The sequence below is a fragment of the Homo sapiens genome, chromosome 9 (assembly GCF_000001405.40).
Source record: "Homo sapiens chromosome 9, GRCh38.p14 Primary Assembly".
NCBI classification, from domain to species: domain Eukaryota; kingdom Metazoa; phylum Chordata; class Mammalia; order Primates; family Hominidae; genus Homo; species Homo sapiens.
The window spans coordinates 137,706,491-137,728,534 of NC_000009.12; the positions used below are offsets into that span (position 1 = coordinate 137,706,491).

General features: G+C 50.5%; 1 protein-coding gene across 31 annotated transcripts in view, besides 5 other annotated features; it reads left to right on the forward strand.

The window, feature by feature from the left end:
* EHMT1 (euchromatic histone lysine methyltransferase 1) overlaps positions 1-22,044 on the forward strand; it is a 217,123-nt gene that overhangs the window by 87,486 nt on the left and 107,593 nt on the right. For 17 of the 31 annotated variants that reach the window (XM_047423872.1, XM_047423875.1, NM_024757.5 and 14 more), the window contains 3 exons: positions 4,477-4,540; positions 10,136-10,692; positions 21,859-22,039. In XM_047423872.1, coding sequence (XP_047279828.1) covers positions 4,477-4,540; positions 10,136-10,692; positions 21,859-22,039 — 802 coding nt within the window. The remainder of the gene's footprint in view (positions 1-4,476; positions 4,541-10,135; positions 10,693-21,858; positions 22,040-22,044) is intronic. The other 14 variants (XM_047423878.1, XM_005266110.2, XM_047423883.1 and 11 more) reach the window with 1 other exon arrangement.
* Positions 2,007-2,968: an enhancer, noted in NCBI's record as "H3K4me1 hESC enhancer chr9:140602949-140603910 (GRCh37/hg19 assembly coordinates)". NCBI's record gives its function as "activates a minimal SCP1, AML or CMV promoter by ChIP-STARR-seq in naive H9 embryonic stem cells {active_cell/tissue: H9 hESC(naive)}" and the evidence as "EXISTENCE:reporter gene assay evidence [ECO:0000049][PMID:30033119]".
* Positions 9,129-9,188: a silencer, noted in NCBI's record as "silent region_20637". NCBI's record gives its function as "represses an Ori minimal core promoter by ATAC-STARR-seq in GM12878 lymphoblastoid cells {active_cell/tissue: GM12878}" and the evidence as "EXISTENCE:reporter gene assay evidence [ECO:0000049][PMID:35858748]".
* Positions 15,691-16,609: an enhancer, noted in NCBI's record as "H3K27ac-H3K4me1 hESC enhancer chr9:140616633-140617551 (GRCh37/hg19 assembly coordinates)". NCBI's record gives its function as "activates a minimal SCP1, AML or CMV promoter by ChIP-STARR-seq in naive H9 embryonic stem cells {active_cell/tissue: H9 hESC(naive)}" and the evidence as "EXISTENCE:reporter gene assay evidence [ECO:0000049][PMID:30033119]".
* Positions 16,610-17,527: an enhancer, noted in NCBI's record as "H3K27ac-H3K4me1 hESC enhancer chr9:140617552-140618469 (GRCh37/hg19 assembly coordinates)". NCBI's record gives its function as "activates a minimal SCP1, AML or CMV promoter by ChIP-STARR-seq in naive H9 embryonic stem cells {active_cell/tissue: H9 hESC(naive)}" and the evidence as "EXISTENCE:reporter gene assay evidence [ECO:0000049][PMID:30033119]".
* Positions 20,059-20,558: an enhancer, noted in NCBI's record as "H3K4me1 hESC enhancer chr9:140621001-140621500 (GRCh37/hg19 assembly coordinates)". NCBI's record gives its function as "activates a minimal SCP1, AML or CMV promoter by ChIP-STARR-seq in primed H9 embryonic stem cells {active_cell/tissue: H9 hESC(primed)}" and the evidence as "EXISTENCE:reporter gene assay evidence [ECO:0000049][PMID:30033119]".

The window sequence follows — 22,044 nt, forward strand, 5'->3', positions numbered from 1 at the left end:
CCTTATTTATTTTTGAGACGGAGTCTCGCTCTGTTGCCCAGGCTAGAGAGCAGTGGCGTGATCTCGGCTCACTGCAACCTCCGCCTCCTGGGTTAAAGATATTCTCCTGCCTCAGCCTCCTGAGTAGCTGGGATTACAGGTGCCTGCCACCACGCCCAACTAATTTTTGTATTTTTAGTGGAGATGGGGTTTTGCCATGTTGGCCAGACTGGTCTCGAACTCCTGACCTCAAGTGATCCGCCTGCCTCGGCCTCCCAAAGTGCTGGGATTGCAAGCGAGAGCCACTGTGCCTGGCTTCTCCTTTTTATTGAGACATTATTTATCTTTTATACATATATATATATTTTTTGAGATGGAGTTTTGCTCTTTTGCCCAGGCTGGAGTGAAGCAGCGTGATCTCAGCTCACTGCAACCTCCGCCCCCGCCCAGGTTAAAGTGATTCTCCTGCCTCAGCCTCCCGAGTAGCTGGGATTACAGGCATGTGCCACCACTCCCGGCTAATTTTTATATTTTTAGTAGAGACGGGGTTTCGCCATGTTGGCCAGACTGGTCTCCAACTCCTGACCTCAGGTGATCCACTCACCTTAGCCTCCCAAACTGCTGAGATTACAGGCGTGAGCCAGCGCGCCTGGCCTATCATTTACATTTGTATTGTAAACTAATTTGTCCTTAATCTGGAGGTTTCATAAAATCCTAGAGTCCGTCAGCCATAAGGAGACTTGGCAGCGCTGCTTGGGGGGGCTGGTCTCCGAAGCCAGCCTGTGGTGCTTCAGCACCCTAGGAGCAGCCCCTGGGCTACAGAAGCAGCATCCCTTGCTGGGAGAAAACCTTCCCGAGCCTCCTGGAAGTCAGGAGAGGCCACGGTTCTGGAGGAGAGGGCGGAGCCGCTGCCTTGCAGAGCCTGGTCTGTCTGCCTCTGCTGGGCCTCCCTCCTCCCCGGTGCCCCCTTTTCCTTTCGCCTCTGCCCTGGGCCATCCTCAGCTGTCCCTTAATGGAAGTGAGCACTGGGGATGCTACAGACCAGGCAGAGGCATCTGTGCTGTGTTTCTGGCCCTAACACTGGTATGAGGCCTGGCATGTTGGTCAGTGCTTGTCAGAGGATTCCTGAGTGCAGTTGAATTGGACACACAGCAGAATGGTGGATGATTCTAGACATTATTCGGTAGTGTGTTACATAGCATTCTTAAACATTTTTTCAAAAGATTACAAAACTTAATTTCGTGGGTAGGATTTGTGGCTGGTGGTGGTGATGAGGACTGTGAGATGGAGTGGGGTTTGGCGGGTGCCTCCAGGAGGGGACAGCATGTGAGGGGCACAGCTGGTGCCCAAAAATGCCTGTAGACCCCGGCAGCCTCACAAGGTCTGCCCTGCCATGCTCCACCCCGGCTCATCTCAGGCCAGGAGACCTTGTCGGCAGAGCTGTGCCGTGGCAGGCAGGGTGTCTTTGGTGTGCCTCAAGGCCCTGCTCTTAAAAGTATTGAGGACCCCAGAGGGCTCTTGTTTATTGGGTTGTATCTAATGATAGTTACTGTAAAAGAAATGAAAACTGAAAAGTTAAAAATCACATTTTTAAAAAATAATAAAAGTAAACATGTAACATTTTATTTACATGTTAGGGAATACAGCAGTTTCTGTGAAAAGTACTTTTTCTGAATGAAAAAAACTCAGTTGAATGGCATTGTTTTCCATGTTGGTCCATCTCTGTCATGTCTGGCTAATCGAAGAGTCAGCTGGATTTGCAGATTGGCTTCTGCACCCAGCCTGAGGTGATACTGTCTGAAGAAAATCTGGTCTCCCATAGACATGTGGTTGGCAAGGGGGAAGTATTTTGATATCTTTTCAGATAATTGCAGCTATTCTGCTTTGATATGACACGAAAACTCAACAAGGTGAAACTGTGCCAATGACCTTCTTCCTCTGTGACATTAAAGCCCATCTTGGATGCATCTTTGTCCCATGCGTGATTTTGAATATTAGGCACTGGGCATTTGGGGAGTGTCAGCTCACCTTGTTAGGAAGATCTTCCCCATGTTGACACATTTTATTATATGGTATCAAAAATCATAGTCACTAATGATACCGCTCATGTAATAAGAAAAGTCATAAATATGGAGAAACTTTCAAGCTCATGGGGACAGATACACATTTACATGTGTTTCGAAAATTCAAAAGGTAGAGTTTTAACATTGGCAACAAATACTACTGGTTGTTTTCTTTGAGGCTCACTCTGTTCTGTGGAAATGTCTGCCAGATGTCCAGGTCTGACTGAGTGGCATGTCCAGGCCTGAGTGGCATGTCCAGGTCTGAGTGGCATGTCCAGGCCTGAGTGGTATGTTCAGGTCTGAGTGGCATACATTTTGCCAGTTGTTCTTTTAAGTGAAGATGCTCTGTGAGTGAGGAAAGCTTCGGGTTCCACGCAGCCACTGTGCCTGGCCTGCTGCCTGCCCCCTTCCTCTGATGTGGAACGCTGGAGAGCTGTGCTCACAGGCCATCATCTCACTGCCTCATCCAGGGCACTCTCAGGCGAGCCCCCCAAGTGCCTGCTGGTCAAGAGTTCAGTTGCTGGAGTACACTTCGGTGTCCTGACCTGGTCGATGCAAAGGGGCTGACACCACCGCTTGGGCACCGTCTGTGCAAATATCAGCACAGTGAAAAAGGCAATTGAGGTCCTAGTATTACCATGAAAATAGTTTTGACCTCCTGGACTCCTGGAAGGATTGCAGGGACCCCGGAGAGCTCCTGTTGGGGGGTAGGTGTGAAGGGTGCAGGCTGAGCTGGCTGGCGTACAGCTGTGATGGACCAGGAAAGGTAGCGTGCTCTGCATGTTCGAGGGCTGGCCATGAGCAGCTGGGCTGCTGGCCCTGGCTTGGCAGTGGGAGATCAGGGGGTGGGAGGTGGAAACCTGGGCCCCCCTGCCTTACCGTGGTGGGGTGGGCTGTGCACAGTTGCTAAGACCAGCTCCTGGGGAGGGTGATGCAGTTAGGTCCGGTGTTACCAAGTCAGCCCAGAAGGCAGCGAGACCATATGGATGTGAGCCCTGGAAAGCAGTAGGCACATCCGGGCTCAGGTAGGGGCTGGCCTGGCGTCTGCTTTGTGGGGAGGAGGGGTTCTGTTGAGAGGCCCCATTGTTGACATGTTTTCTCATCCAGACGCTGGACACCCGGGTTTTTGCAGCCTCTTCTTACCTGTTGATAGTCAATTAAAGATGGAATCAGTGCGTGGCTGGCCTCCTGCAGCTGTCTGACTGGCTGCTCCTAGTGACCTCGGGCAAGTCTGTGCCTCTCCTCTTCTGGTTGTGGACTCGGAGCACCAAGTGTGCCTCCCTCAGTTGTTCCTATTTTATCACTCTGACCCGGAGGCTTCCTGCCCACTTCCAGCTTCCAGTGGCCTCACCAGAGGGCTTTCTCCAGTATCACATCACCAGGTGTGGGTGTCAGCCTGACAGCTCCCACTTGCAGTCTGGCATCTCCAACTGCCCAGAGTGGTCAGCAGCCCTCTTCCCCGGCCCCCAGCTGTGGGTGGGGCATTTGCAGACTCCCTGCTGCCTCCTTATGGACTCCATGGTCCTGCTGCTGCGTCGGGAGAGGCCTGGCTAGGAGTGTTTTATGTGTTTATGTTCACTTCTCCAACCAGACTCTAAGCTTCTTGAAGGCAAGGATTTTTGTGTAAAAAAAAAAAAAAAAATTCTGTCCAAGTGCCACCCAAGTGCAGTGGCTCACACCTCTAATCCCAGCACTTTGGGAGGCTGAGGCGGGCGGATCACTTGAGGCCAGGAGTTTGAGACCAGCCTGGCCAACATGGCGAAACCCCCATCTCTACTGAAAACACAAAAAGCATCTGGGTGTGGTGGTGTGCACCTGTAGTCCCAGCTACTCAGGTGGGTGAGGCCTGAGAATCGCTTGAACTGTGGAAGCAGAGGTTGCAGTGAGCCGAGATCGCGCCACTGTACTCCAGCCTGGGCGAGAGAGTGAACTCTGTCTCAACAAAAAAATTGTAAGAGGCCTTGTATAATACATACCTCTATAGATGCTTAATCTCAAAGATTTAGTGATTTAAGTTCCTTATTGAATTTTCTTGATTTATCTATTTCTATAATTTTTTGTAGGAGGTTGGACATTTGAAATATATGAATTATTGTCAGCAGTAGAATGCATTTTGAAATAAATTGTAACACTCCTGTAACAGAGCCCAAAGATTTCAGATATCTAATTATATAAATGATACATGAATGCGTTCTTATTGTTAAGAAACTGTCTTCAAAAATAGAAATACAGGAGAAGTTTCCTTGGACTGTGTTCTGAATGCCAGTTCTTCTGCTGGAGGCGACTGTAACCAGCTGGCAGGAGTAAATCTGACTGTCCAGCAGCTCATGGTGAATGTTGTAACTACGATTTTTTGACTTTTTCCAAATGATGTCCATTTGGAAAAGCGGCCTCCCACTGAACCCGGCTGACGGCTGTTGTTTCTCTCTAACAGGCAGTTCCGGCGAGGGGGGAGCCTCAGCAGGATTGCTGTGTGAAAACCGAGCTGCTGGGAGAAGGTGAGGGCGGTGTGCACCGAGGGACAGGAGCAGCGCCTCCCTCCAGACTAGAAAACCTGCTGCTCTTCCTCTCTTATTAGTCCCCGTCTTCTGACTTTCTTTGCTTCACCTAGGTTTATGGTATAGTTTCTAATCTATCCCATTCCTAAATAGCACAGTTGCACAGACAAACACAAAAGCTCTGCCAGAGAAGGAACACATTTGTCAAAGTATGAAAAGCAAAAATCCTGTATATCCTTGTCTTAAAGTACACCCAGAAAATTAAAAGTGAGTGGCCACACAAATGTTTATAGCAGCATTGTCACGTCGCCGAAAACCGGAGACACTCCGGTGTCCTCAGTTGATAAGGAACTGGATAAACAGATCGTGGTACATCCACACAGTGGGACAGCGGTCAGCAGCCCAGAAGAGCACACAGCATGACTGACGCCGCGCCATGGATGAAGCTTTTGTACGGTTTGTTAAGTGAAGGAGGCCAGACCCAAAGGGCCACAAGCTGCATGACTCCAATTTTATGGCAGACACTTGGAGAACAGCAGTGGTTACCAGGAGGTGGAGGGAGTGGTGTGGAAGCAAGTGTCTGCAGAGAGGCAGGGTGAGGGGAGTTGGGGCGAGGGGAGTCGGCGGGGCTGCACCCCTCTGTAAGGCGTGGCGCACACATAGGGTTCGGATGTTCTTGGAGAGCCTGCACCACCAAGAGCGCCCCCAGGAAATGAGGGCAGGTGGCGCCAGACGAGCTGTGCTGTGCTCCACAGTGAAGGGAGAGTGGTGTTCTGGCTGGACCCATAAGGGTGGCGGCCGTGGGAGCAGCTCAGACACTGGACTTGCCTAAGGCTCTCCCAGCTGGAGCCTGCTCCTCTCCAGACAGCGCGCAAGGCCTGGCTCCTCATGGACTGTGGGCTGTGGCCCCTGCCGTGTTCTCCTTTCACCCTAGATGGCCTCGCTGTGCCTGTGGGTTCTCGTCCACCCACTGGCTGTGCACTGTGGTGACCGCTGCCCGCCTCTGCCGCTACCCCTAGCCGGCCCTCCAGGGTTGCCCCCACCTCCTGCGCCATCCACCTCCTGCAGCCTGACTGGGTGTTTTCTTCCTGTACTTTGGCCCCTTCCTGTTGCCGTCCTTTCTGTGTCTTTGAACTGTTTCTTCTGTTGGCTCCAGTGCCCTCCGGCTCTTCCCCCTTCTCTCCCTGGTCACCCCTCCTTTGACCTTCCTAGTGGAACTTGTTTCCTACGTGACACCAGATGCCACAAGCCCCAGGTTATTCCATTACGCTTTAGGCTTTGCCTGTGCCCTGTTCCCTTACACACTGCCGCTGAGCCACGGCCTCTCCACCCTGGGGGAACTGCTGGACCCCCACGGTGGCTGCCCCATCTTGCTTTCCCTGCAGCAGTTGCAGAGGGCTCCAGGTTCTCCACGTCCTCGCCACCATTTCTTAGTGTCTGTGGCTGTCCTGGCGGGTGGGAAGTGGCATCTCATTGTGGTTTTGGTTTGCATTTTCCTGACGGCCAGTGATGTTGAGCATCATTTCGTGTGCTTACTGGCCATCTTTAGAGCTTCTTTGGAGAAATATCTCTTCTCCTGTGATTTCAAATTGGATTGATTTTTATTGTTGAGTTTTCAGTGTTCTTTATATAAGCAGAAGTCCCTTATCAGCCATGGGATTTGCAAATATTTTCTTCCGGTCTGTGGCTTGTCTTTCCCCTTTCTTGATGGTGTCCTTTGAAGTATAAATGTTTTCAATTTTGATGAAGTCCGACTTACCTGTTTTTTTCCTCCTTTTAGTTGCTGGTGCTTTTGGTCTAAAACCTAAGAACTTACCATTACTTAATAGAAGGTCACAAACATTTACATTTATTTTTTCTTGGAGTTTTATAGTTTTATCTCTTTTATTTAGGTTTTCGATCAATTTTGAGTTAATTTTTGTATATGGTTTGAAGTAGGGGTCCCAGTTTATTATTTTGCAAGTTGATAATCAGTTGTCCCAGCAACATTTATGAAAAAGACCTTTCTTCCCTCATTGAATTGTTCTTGCACCCTCGTTGAAAATCAGTTGGCTTTAAATGTGAGGGTTTATTGTAAGATTTTCTTTTCTTTAGACAGGGTCTCCCTCTGTAATCCAGGCTGGAGTGTGATCATGGCTTACTCTAGCCTCCATCTCCCTGGGCTCAGGCAATCCTACCACCTCAGCCTCCCAAGTAGCTGGGACCACAGGTGTGAGCCACCACACCATGCTAATTTTTTTTTTTTTTTTTTTTTTTTGAGATGGAGTCTTGCTCTGTCACCCGGGCTGGAGTGCAGTGGCACGATCTCGGCTCACTGCAAGCTCCGCTTCCCGGGTTCACGCCATTCTTCTGCCTCAGCCTCACGAGTAGCTGGGAATACAGGCACCTGCCACCATGCCCGGCTAATTTTTTTTGTATTTTTAGTAGAGACGGGGTTTCACCATCTTAGCCAGGATGGTCTCCATCTCCTGACCTCATGATCCACCCGCCTTGGCCTCCCAAAGTGCTGGGATTACAGGCGTGAACCACTGTGCCTGGCCCCTAAGTATTATATTTTTTGATGCTATTTTAAATAGAATTGTTTTAAAAATTCTTTTTCATTTTGATCATTGATACTGTATAGAAATACAAGTGATTGGCTGGGCACACTGGCTCATGCCTGTAATCCCAGCACTTTGGGAGGCCAAGGTGGGCAGATCACTTGAGGTCAGGAGTTCAAGAGCAGCCTGGCCAACGTGGTGAAACCCCATCTCTACTAAAAATACAAAAATTAGCGGGATGTGGTGGCTCGCACCTATAATCCCAGCTACTCATGAGGCTGAGGCAGGAGAATCACTTGAACCCGGGAGGCAGAGCTTGCAGTGGGCAGAGATCATGCCATTGCACTCCAGCCTGGGTGACACAGCGAGACTCCATCTCAAAAAATAAAAAAAGTTAAAAAAAATTGATTTTTGCATATTTATCTTATATCCTATAACCTTGCTAAACTCGTTTATTAGTTCTAATGATTTAAACTTCCTTGGGAATTTCTGCATAAAAGCTTGTGTCATCTTTAGGGCTCATTTGGTTTCTTCCATTCCAATCTGCATTCTTTTTATTTCTGTTTCTTCCTTATGGCCCTACTTCGAATCTCTAGTACAGGGTTGAATAGAAGTGGCAAGACTGGACATCCTTGTCTGGTTTCTGATCTTAGGGAGAGAGCTTCCCGGGTTTCACCTTTAAGTGTGATGTTAGCTGTAGTTTTTCATAGATGCCCTATGTTAGATTGAGGAAGTTTTCTTTTCTTAGCAAACCATTTGCTAAGTGTTTTGACCATGAAGGGGTGTTCATTTTTTCCTGTCTAATGAGATGCTTGTGTGGTTTTGTCCTTTATTTTGTTCTATTGATATTTGGCATATTAATTCATTTTTAGCTATTAAGCCAACCTTGCATTTCTGGGGTTAAATTCCACTTGTTCATGGTTTAATCCTCCTCACCAATTTTGTTTTGTTGTTGGGGGGTGCGGAGCTGGATTCAGTTTGCTCATTTTTTTTTTTTTTTTTTTTTTTAATGAGACCTGTCACCCAGGCTGGAGTGCAGTGGTGCAATCATAGCTCACTGAAGCCTTGACCTCCTGGGCTCAAGCGACCCTCCTGCCACAGCCTCCTGAGTATCTGGGACTACAAGTGTGCACCTCCATGCCCGGCTAATTTTTTAATTTTTGGTACAGAGTCTCACTATGTTGCCCAGGTGGGTCGTGAACTCCTGGGTTCAAGCGATCATGCCTCCTTGGCCTCCCAAAGTGCTGGGATTACAGGCATGAGCCACCACACCCAGCTTATAGATTCAATTTGAGGGGACTTGACAGCTTTGTAATGTCATCCATTTAGGAGCATGAAATGCCTTCTATTTAACTTTTTTTTCAACACATTGGCTTTGAGTAATCTTGGCAAATTTCCTAATACCCTTTGTAGTTTTCCCTACTTCTGTGAATGATACTTTTTTTTCTTACATTTTCTAGGTAATGTTGATATAAATAAATGTCTTTGATTTTGTAACATGATTTCAAATTCAGCAGTCTGGTTGTACTCTTGTGTTTTAGTTGCTAATTGAGTCTGTTTTTAAGTAAATGATTGTGTCAGATGCAGGTGGGAACAGTTTGACCCTCACATTGTTCTTTCCCTTTGGTGTCACCTGCACTGCCTTTTTATGTCAGACACTGGTAGTGTTAATAGATCTTATATGCAATTAATTTAGCATTTACATATACATCTGCTGCAGGATTTGGTATGAGGAAGTTTCCACTTACTCTGTTTTGTTAAGGGTTTTTAAAACATAGTTGTTTATTCAGAACACACACATTAGATGCCAGGCCTCGTTCATGTGCTCAGGGTACACTGGTAAACAGACAGGGCATTTGCGCTCATAGGACTTAACGTCCTCGGGTGGAAGGACAGACGGCCAGCATGACAGATGATCAGGTCTGTTGTGCTCGAGGTGATAAGCACCAGGAAGAACAGAGCCAGGAAGGAGGGCACTGGGCGGTGGCATCTCAGGCTTGACTGAGCTCCGTGTGCACCTAGCGATGCCATCGCAGGCTTCCTGCCTCAGCCTGTCCTGAGCTGAGTGTGTGTGTCAATCTCGTGATGTAAAATAGTGTCTCCTTGACTGCCCTGGATATGATTTCCTGGGGTTGTCATCGGAGAGTGAGCCTCTGTAGGGAGTGGAGAGCAGACCACGGATGTGCTCCAAGTATAAGCCCTTTTTCTGACCCATTTTCTCTGTTAGTTATTGTGAAGCCTCTTCTGAAGCCTTGTTTTCTATCTCCAAATAACACTCCATGTTTTATTATAGCAGTGATTCCCCAAACTTAACCAACTAACGTTCAACGTTAATGCTTAAGAAATGTTTATGTTTAATATGTTTGAACTGAAATGCTGGTTTGCTATGAAACAAAATAATTTTCTGTAGACAGTTTTATATAAGCCAGCCAAAGAAATTGTGTTGGTGGTGGTGTCATAGGGGGAGGAAATTGTGTTGGTGTCATGGTGGGGGGAGGAAATTGTGGTGTCGTGGTGGGGGAGGAAGTTGTGGTGGTGTCATGGTGGGGGAGGAAGTTGTGTTGGTGTCATGGTGGGGGAGGAAGTTGTGGTGGTGTCATGGTGGGGGAGGAAGTTGTGGTGGTGTCATGGTGGGGGAGGAAGTTGTGTTGGTGTCATGGTGGGGGAGGAAGTTGTGGTGGTGTCATGGTGGGGGAGGAAGTTGTGGTGGTGTCATGGTGGGGGAGGAAGTTGTGGTGGTGTCATGGTGGGGGAGGAAGTTGTGGTGGTGTCATGGTGGGGGAGGAAGTTGTGGTGTCATGGTGGGGGAGGAAGTTGTGTTGGTGTCATGGTGGGGGAGGAAGTTGTGTTGGTGTCATGGTGGGGGAGGAAGTTGTGTTGGTGTCATGGTGGGGGAGGAAGTTGTGTTGGTGTCATGGTGGGGGAGGAAGTTGTGGTGGTGTCATGGTGGGGGAGGAAGTTGTGGTGGTGTCATGGTGGGGGAGGAAGTGGTGGTGGTGGTGGTGCCATGGAGAGCGTGGCCTGCAGTCAGTGACACTCGTTTCTTTGTTGGCAGAGACACCTATGGCTGCCGATGAAGGCTCAGCAGAGAAACAGGCAGGAGAGGCCCACATGGCTGCGGACGGTGAGACCAATGGGTCTTGTGAAAACAGCGATGCCAGCAGTCATGCAAATGCTGCAAAGCACACTCAGGACAGCGCAAGGGTCAACCCCCAGGATGGCACCAACACACTAACTCGGATAGCGGAAAATGGGGTTTCAGAAAGAGACTCAGAAGCGGCGAAGCAAAACCACGTCACTGCCGACGACTTTGTGCAGACTTCTGTCATCGGCAGCAACGGATACATCTTAAATAAGCCGGCCCTACAGGCACAGCCCTTGAGGACTACCAGCACTCTGGCCTCTTCGCTGCCTGGCCATGCTGCAAAAACCCTTCCTGGAGGGGCTGGCAAAGGCAGGACTCCAAGCGCTTTTCCCCAGACGCCAGCCGCCCCACCAGCCACCCTTGGGGAGGGGAGTGCTGACACAGAGGACAGGAAGCTCCCGGCCCCTGGCGCCGACGTCAAGGTCCACAGGGCACGCAAGACCATGCCGAAGTCCGTCGTGGGCCTGGTAATTTTGTGTCTTCTCTTGCTGTTTCCTTTTTCCCATCTCTTTTGTTTTAATAACGGCAAATGGACTTTGGTGCATTGAGGAGAAGCCAGTAAGTGTCAGTGGTTATCCGACAGGGCCTATGAGGAGCTAGGAGAAGGCCGGGAGCAGTGGCTTACAGCTGTTATCGCAGCACTTTGGGAGGCTGAGGCGGGTGGATTGCTTGAGCCTAGGAGTTTGAGACCAGCCTGGGCAGCGTGGCGAAACTCAAATGCAAAATTTTGTAAAAAATGCAAAAATTAACTGGGCATAGTGGTGCGTACCTGTAGTCCCAGCTACTCAGGAGTGTGAGGTGGGAGGATTGCTTGAGCCTGGTGGAGACTGCAGTGAGCCCGGATCACCTCACTGCACTCCAGCTTGGGCACCAGAGTGAGACCCTGTCTCAAAAAAAAAAAAAAAAAAAAAGAGATGCTGCTAATGCCTTGTGCGTGAGTGACAAAGCGGAGTGATGCCAGGTGACGCCTCGCTTCCTTCTTGTGCTTTCTCTTCTCACAGGATTCTGTTGCTCTCTGTAGAAACGTGTCAGATCCTTTCAAGGAGGCCACGGCCTCTTCTGCTTTGGACATTGGGGCTTTCACTCCAGCTAGGGAAGACTCAGCCCTGACCCTGTTTCATTGAGAAGTGAATAGAAATGAACTTGGTTAGGGCCAGAATGTCACAGAAGTGAGGGGCAAAGGGCCACCTGGAGACATGCCGAGGTCTCCCTCCCAACCCTGAGCTGCTGGGCTCAGCCGTACCTTGAGAGCAGAATGAGTCTTGAATCCTGAGCGCTTCACACACAGGGCGCGCCCACCCCTCGCATGCACCATGATTTTCACACGCAGGGTGCGCCCACCCCTCACGCACTGTGATGATTTTCACACACAGGGCGCGCCCGCCCCTCACGCACCGTGATGATTTTCACACACAGGGCGCGCCTGCCCCTCACACGCACCGTGCTGATTTTCACACACAGGGCGCGCCCGCCCCTCACGCGCACCGTGCTGATTTTCACACACAGGGCACGCGTGCTTCTCACACATGCTGTGCTGGACTGATCACCAGATCTTACGTGGTGCATACACGATACAGGTTTTCAAAGTGTTCATGGTGCTTTTAGTGTGCTCTCTCAGTTTGATGTGAATTTGGGTGTAAGTTCTAGGTTTGTGATCACATTCCCGTGGAATTTTCTCTCTCTGACATTGCTGGTGAACATTCTGACAGCACTTTCTTGTCATTTGTTTGTAGATCGTTTGCTCTTTCCCCTCAGCCACTGTTTAGGGCTTCACAGCCCTGTCAATTGGAGGATTTGTGTCTTCAGCTCCAGAAGGATGCTCTGTATGAGTTTTCTTCTGTTTTCTTCCCATGGAGCTCCTCTTAAATGGCCGGCTCTTCTGTCCTCCTGGGCAGTTCTCTGTCTGTTTCCAGCTTCCTTACTGGTTCCTCAGCCCTTCCCCTTCTTGCTGTTCATCCCATATATTGATATATTTTATTCTGACATAAATTTTTTTCATGCCCAGTATCTCTGATTAGTTCTCTCTCTTTTTCTTTTTCTTTTTCTTTTTTTTTTTTTGAGACGGAGTCTTGCTCTGTCACCCAGGTTAGAGTGAAATGGCGCGATCTCAGCTCACTATAACCCCCGCCTCCCAGGTTTAAGTGATTCTCATGCTTCAGCCTCCCAAGTAGCTGGGACTACAGGCGCCTACCACCACACCTGGCTAATTTTTGTATTTTTAGTAGAGATGAGGTTTCACCATGTTGGCCAGGCTGTTCTTGAACTGACCTCAGGTGATCCATGCGCCTCGGCCTCCCAGAGTGCTGGGATTACAGGTGTGAGCCACCGCGCCCGGCCTGATTAGTTCTTTTAATTTAAAAAATACTGAATTCTATCTTGCGTTATCTTTCAAAAGACGGTGATTATAATTCTTCTATAATCTCTGTTGTAAATTCTGATTCCTCAAGTGGGGGTTCTCTTGGACTTGACACCTCCTGTTTGTGACTTTTTTTTCCTCTCAGATTTAGCTTTTTCCCCCACCAGGGTGTCTCCATCTTTGTTTCTGTCATAGTGTCTCAGCCTGACTATGAGTGCTGTGTGCGTTTTCTGTGGCCTGTCTGCAGTGACCACAGTGGGTGGTGGGCACACTGTGGGGCTGGACTGCTGGCTCCTCAGGGGGTGGTGGGTGCGTTGTGGGCCGGACTGCTGGCTCCTCAGGGGCCCACAGCTGCTGGGTGTTGCGTCCTCTCCTAGGACAGATAAGGCGGGCACCTCGTGGTGCGGACAACTGCCCTAGCCCTGGGGCTTCTCCACTCCCAGGCTGGCCGGCCTGACCCGACCTCAACCTTTTGCAGTATTCTTCTGTACATGGCAAAGCTTTAGAAAATCTTAAAAATAATTACAGTGTCACAGGAAACTGCAAAAAAACCTTTCACCAAGCTTCCTTCAGTGGTGATGTCTTTGATAACTAGAGGACAATGTCAGACCCAGGATGCTGACATTGGTAAAGTCCGTGGGGCTTACTCAGTTTCACCATCACCTGTGTGCACGTGCATCACGTGCAGGGTGTTCTGTGCAGTTTACCGTGTGTGGATGTGTGGAAACACCACTACAGTCGAGATGCCGAACCCCCTCCACACCAGGACACATGAGGTGCCGAACCCCCTCCACACCAGGACACAGTCGAGGTGCCGAACCCCCTCCACACCAGGACACAGTCGAGGTGCCGAACCCCCTCCACACCAGGACACAGTCGAGGTGCCGAACCCCCTCCACACCAGGACACAGTCGAGGTGCCGAACCCCCTCCACACCAGGACACAGTCGAGGTGCCGAACCTCCTCCACACCAGGGCACAGTCGAGGTGCCGAACCCCCTCCACACCAGGGCACAGTCGAGGTGCCGAACCCCCTCCACACCAGGGCACAGTCGAGGTGCCGAACCCCCTCCACACCAGGACACAGTCGAGGTGCCGAACCCCCTTCACACCAGGGCACAGTCGAGATATGGAACCCCCCACACCAGGGTCCCTGACGTCACCCTGTGTAGCCACCAACCAGACCTGAACCTGTGCCAGCCTCTCATCTGCAGATTCCATTTTTATAATTTTGTCATTTCTTTTTTTTTTAAGACAGGATCTCACTCTGTCACCCAGGCTGGACTGCAGTGGCCTGATCACAGCTCTTTGCAACCTCTGCCTCCCAGGCTGAAGTCATCCTCCTGCCTCTGCCTCCTGAGTAGCTGGGTTTACAGATGTGCACCACCCTGCCCGGCTGATTTTTATATTTTTGTAGACAAGGGATATTGTCTTGTTGGCCAGGCTGGTCTTGAATTCCTGAGCTCAAGTGATCTGCCCTCCTCGGCATCCCAAAGTGCTGGGATTATGGGCATGATCCAACGTGCCCGGCCTATTTCTGATTTTATATAAATGGAATTATAATGTATGTAACCTTTTGAGAGTAGCTTTTGTCACTCAGCATAGTTCTCTTAAGATCATCCAAGTTACGTCATTAGCCCGTCCCGTTCTCTGCTGAGGCCTTGGTGTTCTGTGGGGTGTGGACAGCCTTGTACGTCGGCACTCACCCGCTGAAGGACACTGGGCATTTTTACTTTAGAGCTGCTCGGGGCATTTACGTACACGTTTTGGATGTAAGATTTACTTCTGTGGGTCAAACACACAGGAGCATAATCACTGGGTTCTATGGCCTTCGGGTGTTTCATTGAACGAGGAAATTGCTGAACCACACTCCAGAGTGGCTGCAGCCTTTCACACGCCCACCGGCGATGTTGCAGTGGCCGCCTTTCTCCCCTCCTCGCCGGCGTCCTCGCCAGCGTTAGCTCTTACCCACTTTTTATTTAGCGCTTCTGTTGGGTGCGCTGGTGTTTCCTCGAGGCTTCAGCGTGCGTATCCCTGTGACTGCTGATGGGGAGCATCCTCTCCCAGACTTCTCACACTCACCCCTCCCAGACTTCTCACACTCACCCCCTCCCAGACTTCTCACACTCACCCCTCCCAGACTTCTCACACTCACCCCTCCCAGACTTCTCACACTCGCCCCCTCCCAGACTTCTCACACTCACCCCTCCCAGACTTCTCACACTCACCCCCTCCCAGACTTCTCACACTCACCCCTCCCAGACTTCTCACACTCACCCCCTCCCCTCTCACCCCCTCCCACGCCTCACCCCCTCCCACGCCTCTCACCCCCTCCCACGCCTCTCACCCTCTCCCACGCCTCTCACCCTCTCCCACGCCTCTCACCCTCTCCCACGCCTCTCACCCTCTCCCACGCCTCTCACCTTCTCACACGCCTCTCACCCTCTCCCACGCCTCTCACCCTCTCCCACGCCTCTCACCTTCTCCCACGCCTCTCATCCTCTCCCTCTCCCACGCCTCTCACCGTCACCCTCTCCTACATCTCTCACCCTCATCCTCTCCCACGCCTCTCACTCTTGTTCCCTCCACGCCTCTCACGCTCATCCCCTTGCACATTGCTTTGCTGTCGGTGTGTCATCTTTGGTGAAATGTCTTTCAGACTTCTGCTCGTTTTATGATTGCATTGTTTTGTTAGCTTTGAGAGTTCTGTATATGAGTGTTTGTCAGCTATGTGGTTTCCAGTATTTTCTGCTGGTCTGAAGCTTCTCTTCTTTCTCTCAAAAGGTCTTTCACAGAGCAAAGGTGTTTCATTTTGATGAAGTCCGGTTTATCAGTTTTCTCCTGTGGATTGTGCTGTTGGTGTTGTGTGTGATAACTCTTCACCTAGCCCTAGATCTCAATTTCTCTAATTTTTTTTTTTTTTCAGTCTTACGTGAACTTTAAATCTGTGATCCATTTTGAGTTAATGTTTGTATAAAGTCTGAGGCTTGGGCTGAGGTTGAATTTATTTTTGCCTGTGGATGGCGCCCCAGTCACAGTTTTAAAACTCACGTTAGAAACTGTACATCATTCGTCTCTCTGAAGTTATGCTTTTATTACAGTCCTACTTCCAGGATTTTATTCTCATATATTTTTATTCGTGAGGATCTTTTATTGTCATCCTATTACATTCCTTTAGGGAAAAAAAGCAATTTGAAATTTTTAGAAAATTCTCTGACCATGAGGCTTATTTAAGTGATCGCTTTTTTCTGGATTGAGTAATTAAAGTGTAATTGATTACAGCACATCATTTGGTTGAAAATTAGTGAACATTCACAGGCTGGTCTGTTGTAGGAAAAGAGAACTTGAGTGTTTTGAGGCTTCGGAACCTGGTTTCCTGAAGACTCTCCACTGCCTCTCCGCACCCTGGAGAACTTGCTGTGCTCCTGGGGGAGTCTGCAGGAGAAGGAGGGGGTGGACTGAGCCAGGGCAGGGCTGTGTGTGTGGGCCCCACGGAGGTGGTGCGGCAGAGACTATGGGTGGGAGGGTGCCTGCCCTGCACCTGCGGTGTGCTCTGTGTCTCTGGGCCCCACGGAGGTGGTGCGGCAGAGACTGTGGGTGGGTGGGTGCCCCCCTGTGCCCCCGGTATGCTCTGTGTGGGCCCCACAGAGGTGGTGCGGCAGAGACTGTGGCGGTAGGGTGCCTGCCCTGCACCCGGAGTGTGCTCTGTATCTGTGGGCCCCACGGAGGTGGTGTGGCAGAGACTATGGGAAGGTGGGTGCCCCCCTGTGCCCAGGGTGTGCTCTGTGTCTGTGGTTCTGGGCCTGAGCCCGGGGTGTGTCTGTGTCTGTGGTTCTGGGCCTGAGCCCGGGGTGTGTCTGTGTCTGTGGTTCTGGGCCTGAGCCGGGGGTGTGTCTGTGTCTGTGGTTCTAGGCCTGAGCCCGGGGTGTGTCTGTGTCTGTGGTTCTGGGCCTGAGCCCGGGGTGTGTCTGTGTCTGTGGTTCTGGGCCTGAGCCGGGGGTGTGTCTGTGTCTGTGGTTCTGGGCCTGAGCCCGGGGTGTGTCTGTGTCCGTGGTTCTGGGCCTGTGCCCGGGGTGTGTCTGTGTCCGTGGTTCTGGGCCTGAGTCCGGGGTGTGCCTGTGTCTGTGGTTCTGGGCCTGAGCCCGGGGTGTGCCTGTGTCCGTGGTTCTGGGCCTGAGCCCGGGGTGTGCCTGTGTCTGTGGTTCTGGGCCTGAGCCCGGGGTGTGTCTGTGTCCGTGGTTCTGGGCCTGAGCCCGGGGTGTGTCTGTGTCCGTGGTTCTGGGCCTGAGCCCGGGGTGTGTCTGTGTCCGTGGTTCTGGGCCTGAGCCCGGGGTGTGCCCTGTGTCTGTGGTTCTGGGCCTGAGCCCGGGGTGTGCCCTGTGTCTGTGGTTCTGGGCCTGAGCCCGGGGTGTGTCTGTGTCTGTGGTTCTGGGCCTGAGCCCGGGGTGTGTCCGTGTCTGTGGTTCTGGGCCTGAGCCCGGGGTGTGTCCGTGTCTGTGGTTCTGGGCCTGAGCTCGGGGTGTGTCTGTGTCTGTGGTTCTGGGCCTGTGGCCCGGGGTGTGCCCGTGTCTGTCTGGGCCTGTGGCCTCTCCACCCTTCAGGATTTCCTGCCACCCCAAACCCAATTTAGTCTTGTTTGGTATTTTTTTAAAGCCACAATTTATTGAAAATTACGTTTTAAAAAGTCATTCCAGTGATAAAACGAATGTTGCAGGCTTTAATAAATCCAATATTCTCATAAAAGTTTAAACATGAAGGTGTTGTCACGGCTGCAGTCTCACGATCCCGTGGCCAGAACCAAGGGATTTGGACCCTGTATCCAGCGTTAATCCCCATCATAAAGCCCCAGCTCAGAGCGAGGCCTGCTCACTGGCAGCTTCACTGTTGTTAGGGCAAAGAAAGTGGAAGTCGCCGGAAGGGAACATTTTTTTCTACCTGGAAATGCTTGTTACTGTGACCTGGTTGGCAGCTCCATTTCCTTGTAAATTGTGCCCACTCCAGGAGGCGTCAGCATGGGGCCCCTTGTTTTTCTCTCTGTGTGTGTGTTTCCACACCTCACCTCCTGGTACCCACTCTAGGCTCTAGTTGCTGGGAGAGAGGTGGTGCCTGTTGGTCTGCACTGGAGGTGGTTCTTAGCAATTGTGTGAAGAAGTGCTGCTAAGTGTCCTACTGTGTGACTCACCCTGGTGCACAGCCCACCGCCCCACCCCCGCCCTGCCAGGAGGGAGGAGCCTCAGCGAAGGGGCCTCCCGCCCCCACAGGAGGGAAGAGCCTCGGGGAAGGGCTGCCCTCCCAGAGCCAGGCCCTGTGGAGATGGGATGGGCCGGCCGTGCTGCCTCCATGGCTAGGTCTTTCCTTGTGCTTTGTTAGGTAACAAGAGTCCCAACAAAACCTAAATCTAGAATTCTCACCTCAGTTAAGCCATTCTTAGTCTTACTGTTGAGATTCTTGAAAATAACCTTTTAAATTAAAGAATAGGTGTGTGTACCTCGGCAAGAATTAGCCTCACATGGCTATTTTCTCTTCAGGTTTTGTTTTTGTACCTTCATCAATATGTACTTTGAAAGCGCATTTTGTGTTTGTAAGCACCAGCTGAAGGGGAGAGCCACGTGAGCCAAACAGCCTGGTCGGTGGTTTGTAGGTGACATAAAGGGGGACCGACTCCTGAGTTCTAACAGTGGCTTCACTGCAGTCAAACCTGGTGTGCTGGAGAAAGACCAAGAAACGTTATACAGCAGACGTGTGGCATTCGTGTGGTAGACTTGTGGCATTCGTGTGGCAGACGTGTGGCATTCGTGGGGCAGACGTGTGGCATTCGTGGGACAGATGTGGCATTCGTTGGGCATTCGTGTGGCAGGCTTGTGGCATTCGTGGGGCAGGCGTGTGGCATTCATGGGGCATTCGTGTGGCAGACGTGTGGCATTAGTGTGGCAGGCGTGTCACATGGGGCAGGCGTGTGGCCTTCGTGGGGCATTCGTGGGGCAGGCGTGTGGCATTTGTGTGGCATTCATGGGCAGGCGTGTGGCATTCCTGGGGCAGGCGTGTGGCATTCATGGGGCATTCTTGTGGCAGGTGTGTGGCAGGCGTGTGGCATTCGTGTGGCAGGCATGTCAGACGTGGGGCAGGTGTGTGGCCTTCGTGGGGCAGGTATGTGGCATTCGTGGGGCAGATGTGGGGCAGACATGTGGCCTTCGTGTGGCATTCGTTGGGCAGACGTGTGGCCTTCGTGTGGCAGACATGTGGCCTTCGTGGGGCTTTCAGTGTTCCGTGTGTGAGGTGCCTTCATTAGTGGACATGGCAGGAGGAGCTGTCATGTCTGAGCTGTGCTTTGAAGGAGGAAGGAGAGCATTCATCCCTCGGGGAAAAAGTAAGGGCATCCCAGAGGTGGAGGTACATTCCAAGAGGAATCACTGAATGTGGCACACAGGGTTGCTGAGCTGGACAGGTCTCCACAGGGAGAAGCAACAAAAAACTCCAGGGAGCTGTGGCCACTAGAATGTGAATCCAGGGTAGGTTCCGCAGTAGGGAGCCCAGGTCGTTCTATGTCTGTTCTGGACATCAGTGGGGTGTCTGGCAGTTTAGTGTGGGCTCACTGAGAAGCTTTGCAAGGACCACATGGCAGCAAGATGCGCTCGAGAGACAGAGAGGCAAGGAGGGAGGGAAACAGACACAGACAGAGTGCGCCTGTGAGACAGAGAGAGGTGGAGACCGTGAGGCCGTGAGAGCCAGCCCCAAGAGTACTCGCTCCCCTGTGCCTTCCAGCTCGCCCTGGCACACCCCTCTCATCTCCCAGCCAAGCCAGGTGCTACCCTGTTCTCCTCCGTGTGCTCTTGCCTGGAACTCTCGCTCTGCCTCCCTGCCTCACCTGTAACCTCCACAAGCACCTCCTGAATCCCTCAGAGCTGTCTCTGCAGCCACATGTTCACCCATGTCATGGACCCACCGAGCACTTTGAGTTACTTATGACCTTGGTTACTTCTCCCTGGCCTTGACTATAGTTGATGCAGGTGCCTTGTCGTGTGTGTGTGTGTGTGTGTGCGTATGTGCGTGGTAAAACACATAATATCAAACTTAACCATTTTTAAGTAAACAGCTCAGTGGCATTAAGCACATTCACGCTGCCGTGCAGCCATCGCCACCCTCCGTCTCTGGAACCTCTTCATCTTCCCACACTGAAGCTCTGTCTCCTTTAAACACTGACTTCCCATTCCTCTCTCCCAGTCCCTGGCAATACCATTCTACTTTCTGTGTCCATCAGTTGGACGACTCTAGGGACCTCCTGTAAGTGGAATGGTACAACGTTTGTTCTTTTGTGGCTGACTTACTTCATTCGGCACAGTGTCCCCGAGGCTCATCCACGCTGCAGCGCGGGCCCCAGCTTCGCTGCTTCTCAGGCTGAGTCACACGTCACTGCGTTTTGCACACGACACTTTGCTGATCCGTTCGCCCGACAGCCGACCCTCGGGTGGCTTCCCCCTTTTGGCTGCTGTGGTTGATGCTGCTATCAACGTGGGTGTACAAGCATCTCTTCAAGACCCTGCTTTCAGTGCTGCTGGGGCACGTGCCCAGCAGTGGAACTGCTGGATCACATGGTAGTTCCACACTTAGCTTTTTGAGTTTTCCACAGCGGATGCACCGTTTCACTTCCTACCAGCAGTGCACAAGGGTTCCCATTTCTCCAGTTCTCACAACACGATTTTCTGTTCTTTCCTAGTAGCCATCCATGCTGCTCACTGTGGTTTCCATATGCATTTCCCCAATGATGTTAAGCATTCTTTTTTCATAGTAGCCATCCTAGTGTGTGAATGGTACTCACCGTGGTTTTGATATGCATTTCCCTGATGAGGGTAAGCATCTTCTCATGTGCTCATTAGCCATTTGTATGTCTTCCTTGAAGAAATGTCTGTTCAGGTCCTTTGCCCATTTTTTATTCTGGTGGTTTTTTATTGTTGAGTTGTAAGACTTTTTCATGTATTCTGGATAATAATTCCTGATGGATTTGCAGATGTTTTCTCCATTCCATAACCTGCTTTTTCACTGTTAACTATGTCCTTTGATGCACATAAATTTTAATTTTTGTAAATTTTTCTTTGTAGAGACAGGGTCTTGCTATGTTGCCCAGACTCATCTTGAACTCCTGGCCTCAAGTGATCTTTCCCCCTTGGCCTCCCAAAGTGCTGGAATTACAGGTGTGACACACCACACCTGGCCCAGAAATTTTAACTTTGATTAAGTCCAGTTTGTCTATTTTTTTCTTCTGTTGCCTGTACTTTTGGTTTCACGTCTAGAAAATAACTGCCAGATCCAATGTTGGGAAGCTTCCCCGGTTTCCTCCTGAGTTTTATACTTTTAGGTTTTGCAGTTAGGACTGTGGTCCATCTTGGGTTAATTTTTTTATATGGTTTAGAAAAGGGTCCAGCTTCATTCTTTTTCATGTGGTCATTCAGTTCTCCCGGTACCATTTCCTGAAGAATGCCCTGTCGTTTAACACTTTTTACTGTGTATTTTTACTGTGTATTTTACTGTGTATTGCACCCACTATGTGCACAGTAAAGTGTGGTTCAGTTGAATTAGATTTGAAGTTAAACTATCACAGGTCTGTAGGTGACGAGGGAAGCAGACAGAGAGTGGAGGTTCAGTTGTGTCTGTGCATTCTGCAATGAAGGAGGTACTGGGAGTTTGCTGTTGGTATCACAGCCTTGCCCTGCAGGCTGAGACTAAAGGCAGATTTAGGAGATCACTGAGACTGAGTAAAATACCATTTTAACACACAACATAGTTACCTACTGTGGGATAAATGCCATTTGGGGATGTTGCAAACTGTAGCCATGGTAAACTGGGAAAGCAGGTTTTGAGAGGTTTTGATGCTGCCCATTTTGGGTATTTTTTAGCTTAGTAAGTGTATTATCTAAGTCAGGGGTTGGAACATTTTTTTCTGCAAAGAACCAGCTAGAAAATGTTTCAGGTTTTGTGGACCACATGTGGTCACTGTTCCTCCTCCCTCCTGCTCATTCCTCCTTCTGGCCTTTAGCCCTGTAAATGCTGTTCTTAGCTTGGGCCATGGTTTGTAGATGCTGACCTAACCCATCTGAGGGGCAACTAGGCACACGTGAGGACAGCTGTGCTGTTTCCGCTTGCAGACTTTCTCCTCTCTCCATTGTATCTCATCTTTCGGTTGTGGGGAATTATCGGGGAGAAGAACTGTGATTTTGGTTGCATGTTATTTCAGTGACCACCTGCTTATGCAGTTATAGTTATTCACTGTCTTTGTTTTGAAGCATGCAGCCAGTAAAGATCCCAGAGAAGTTCGAGAAGCTAGAGATCATAAGGAACCAAAAGAGGAGATCAACAAAAACATTTCTGACTTTGGACGACAGCAGCTTTTACCCCCCTTCCCATCCCTTCATCAGTCGCTACCTCAGAACCAGTGCTACATGGCCACCACAAAATCACAGACAGGTAAA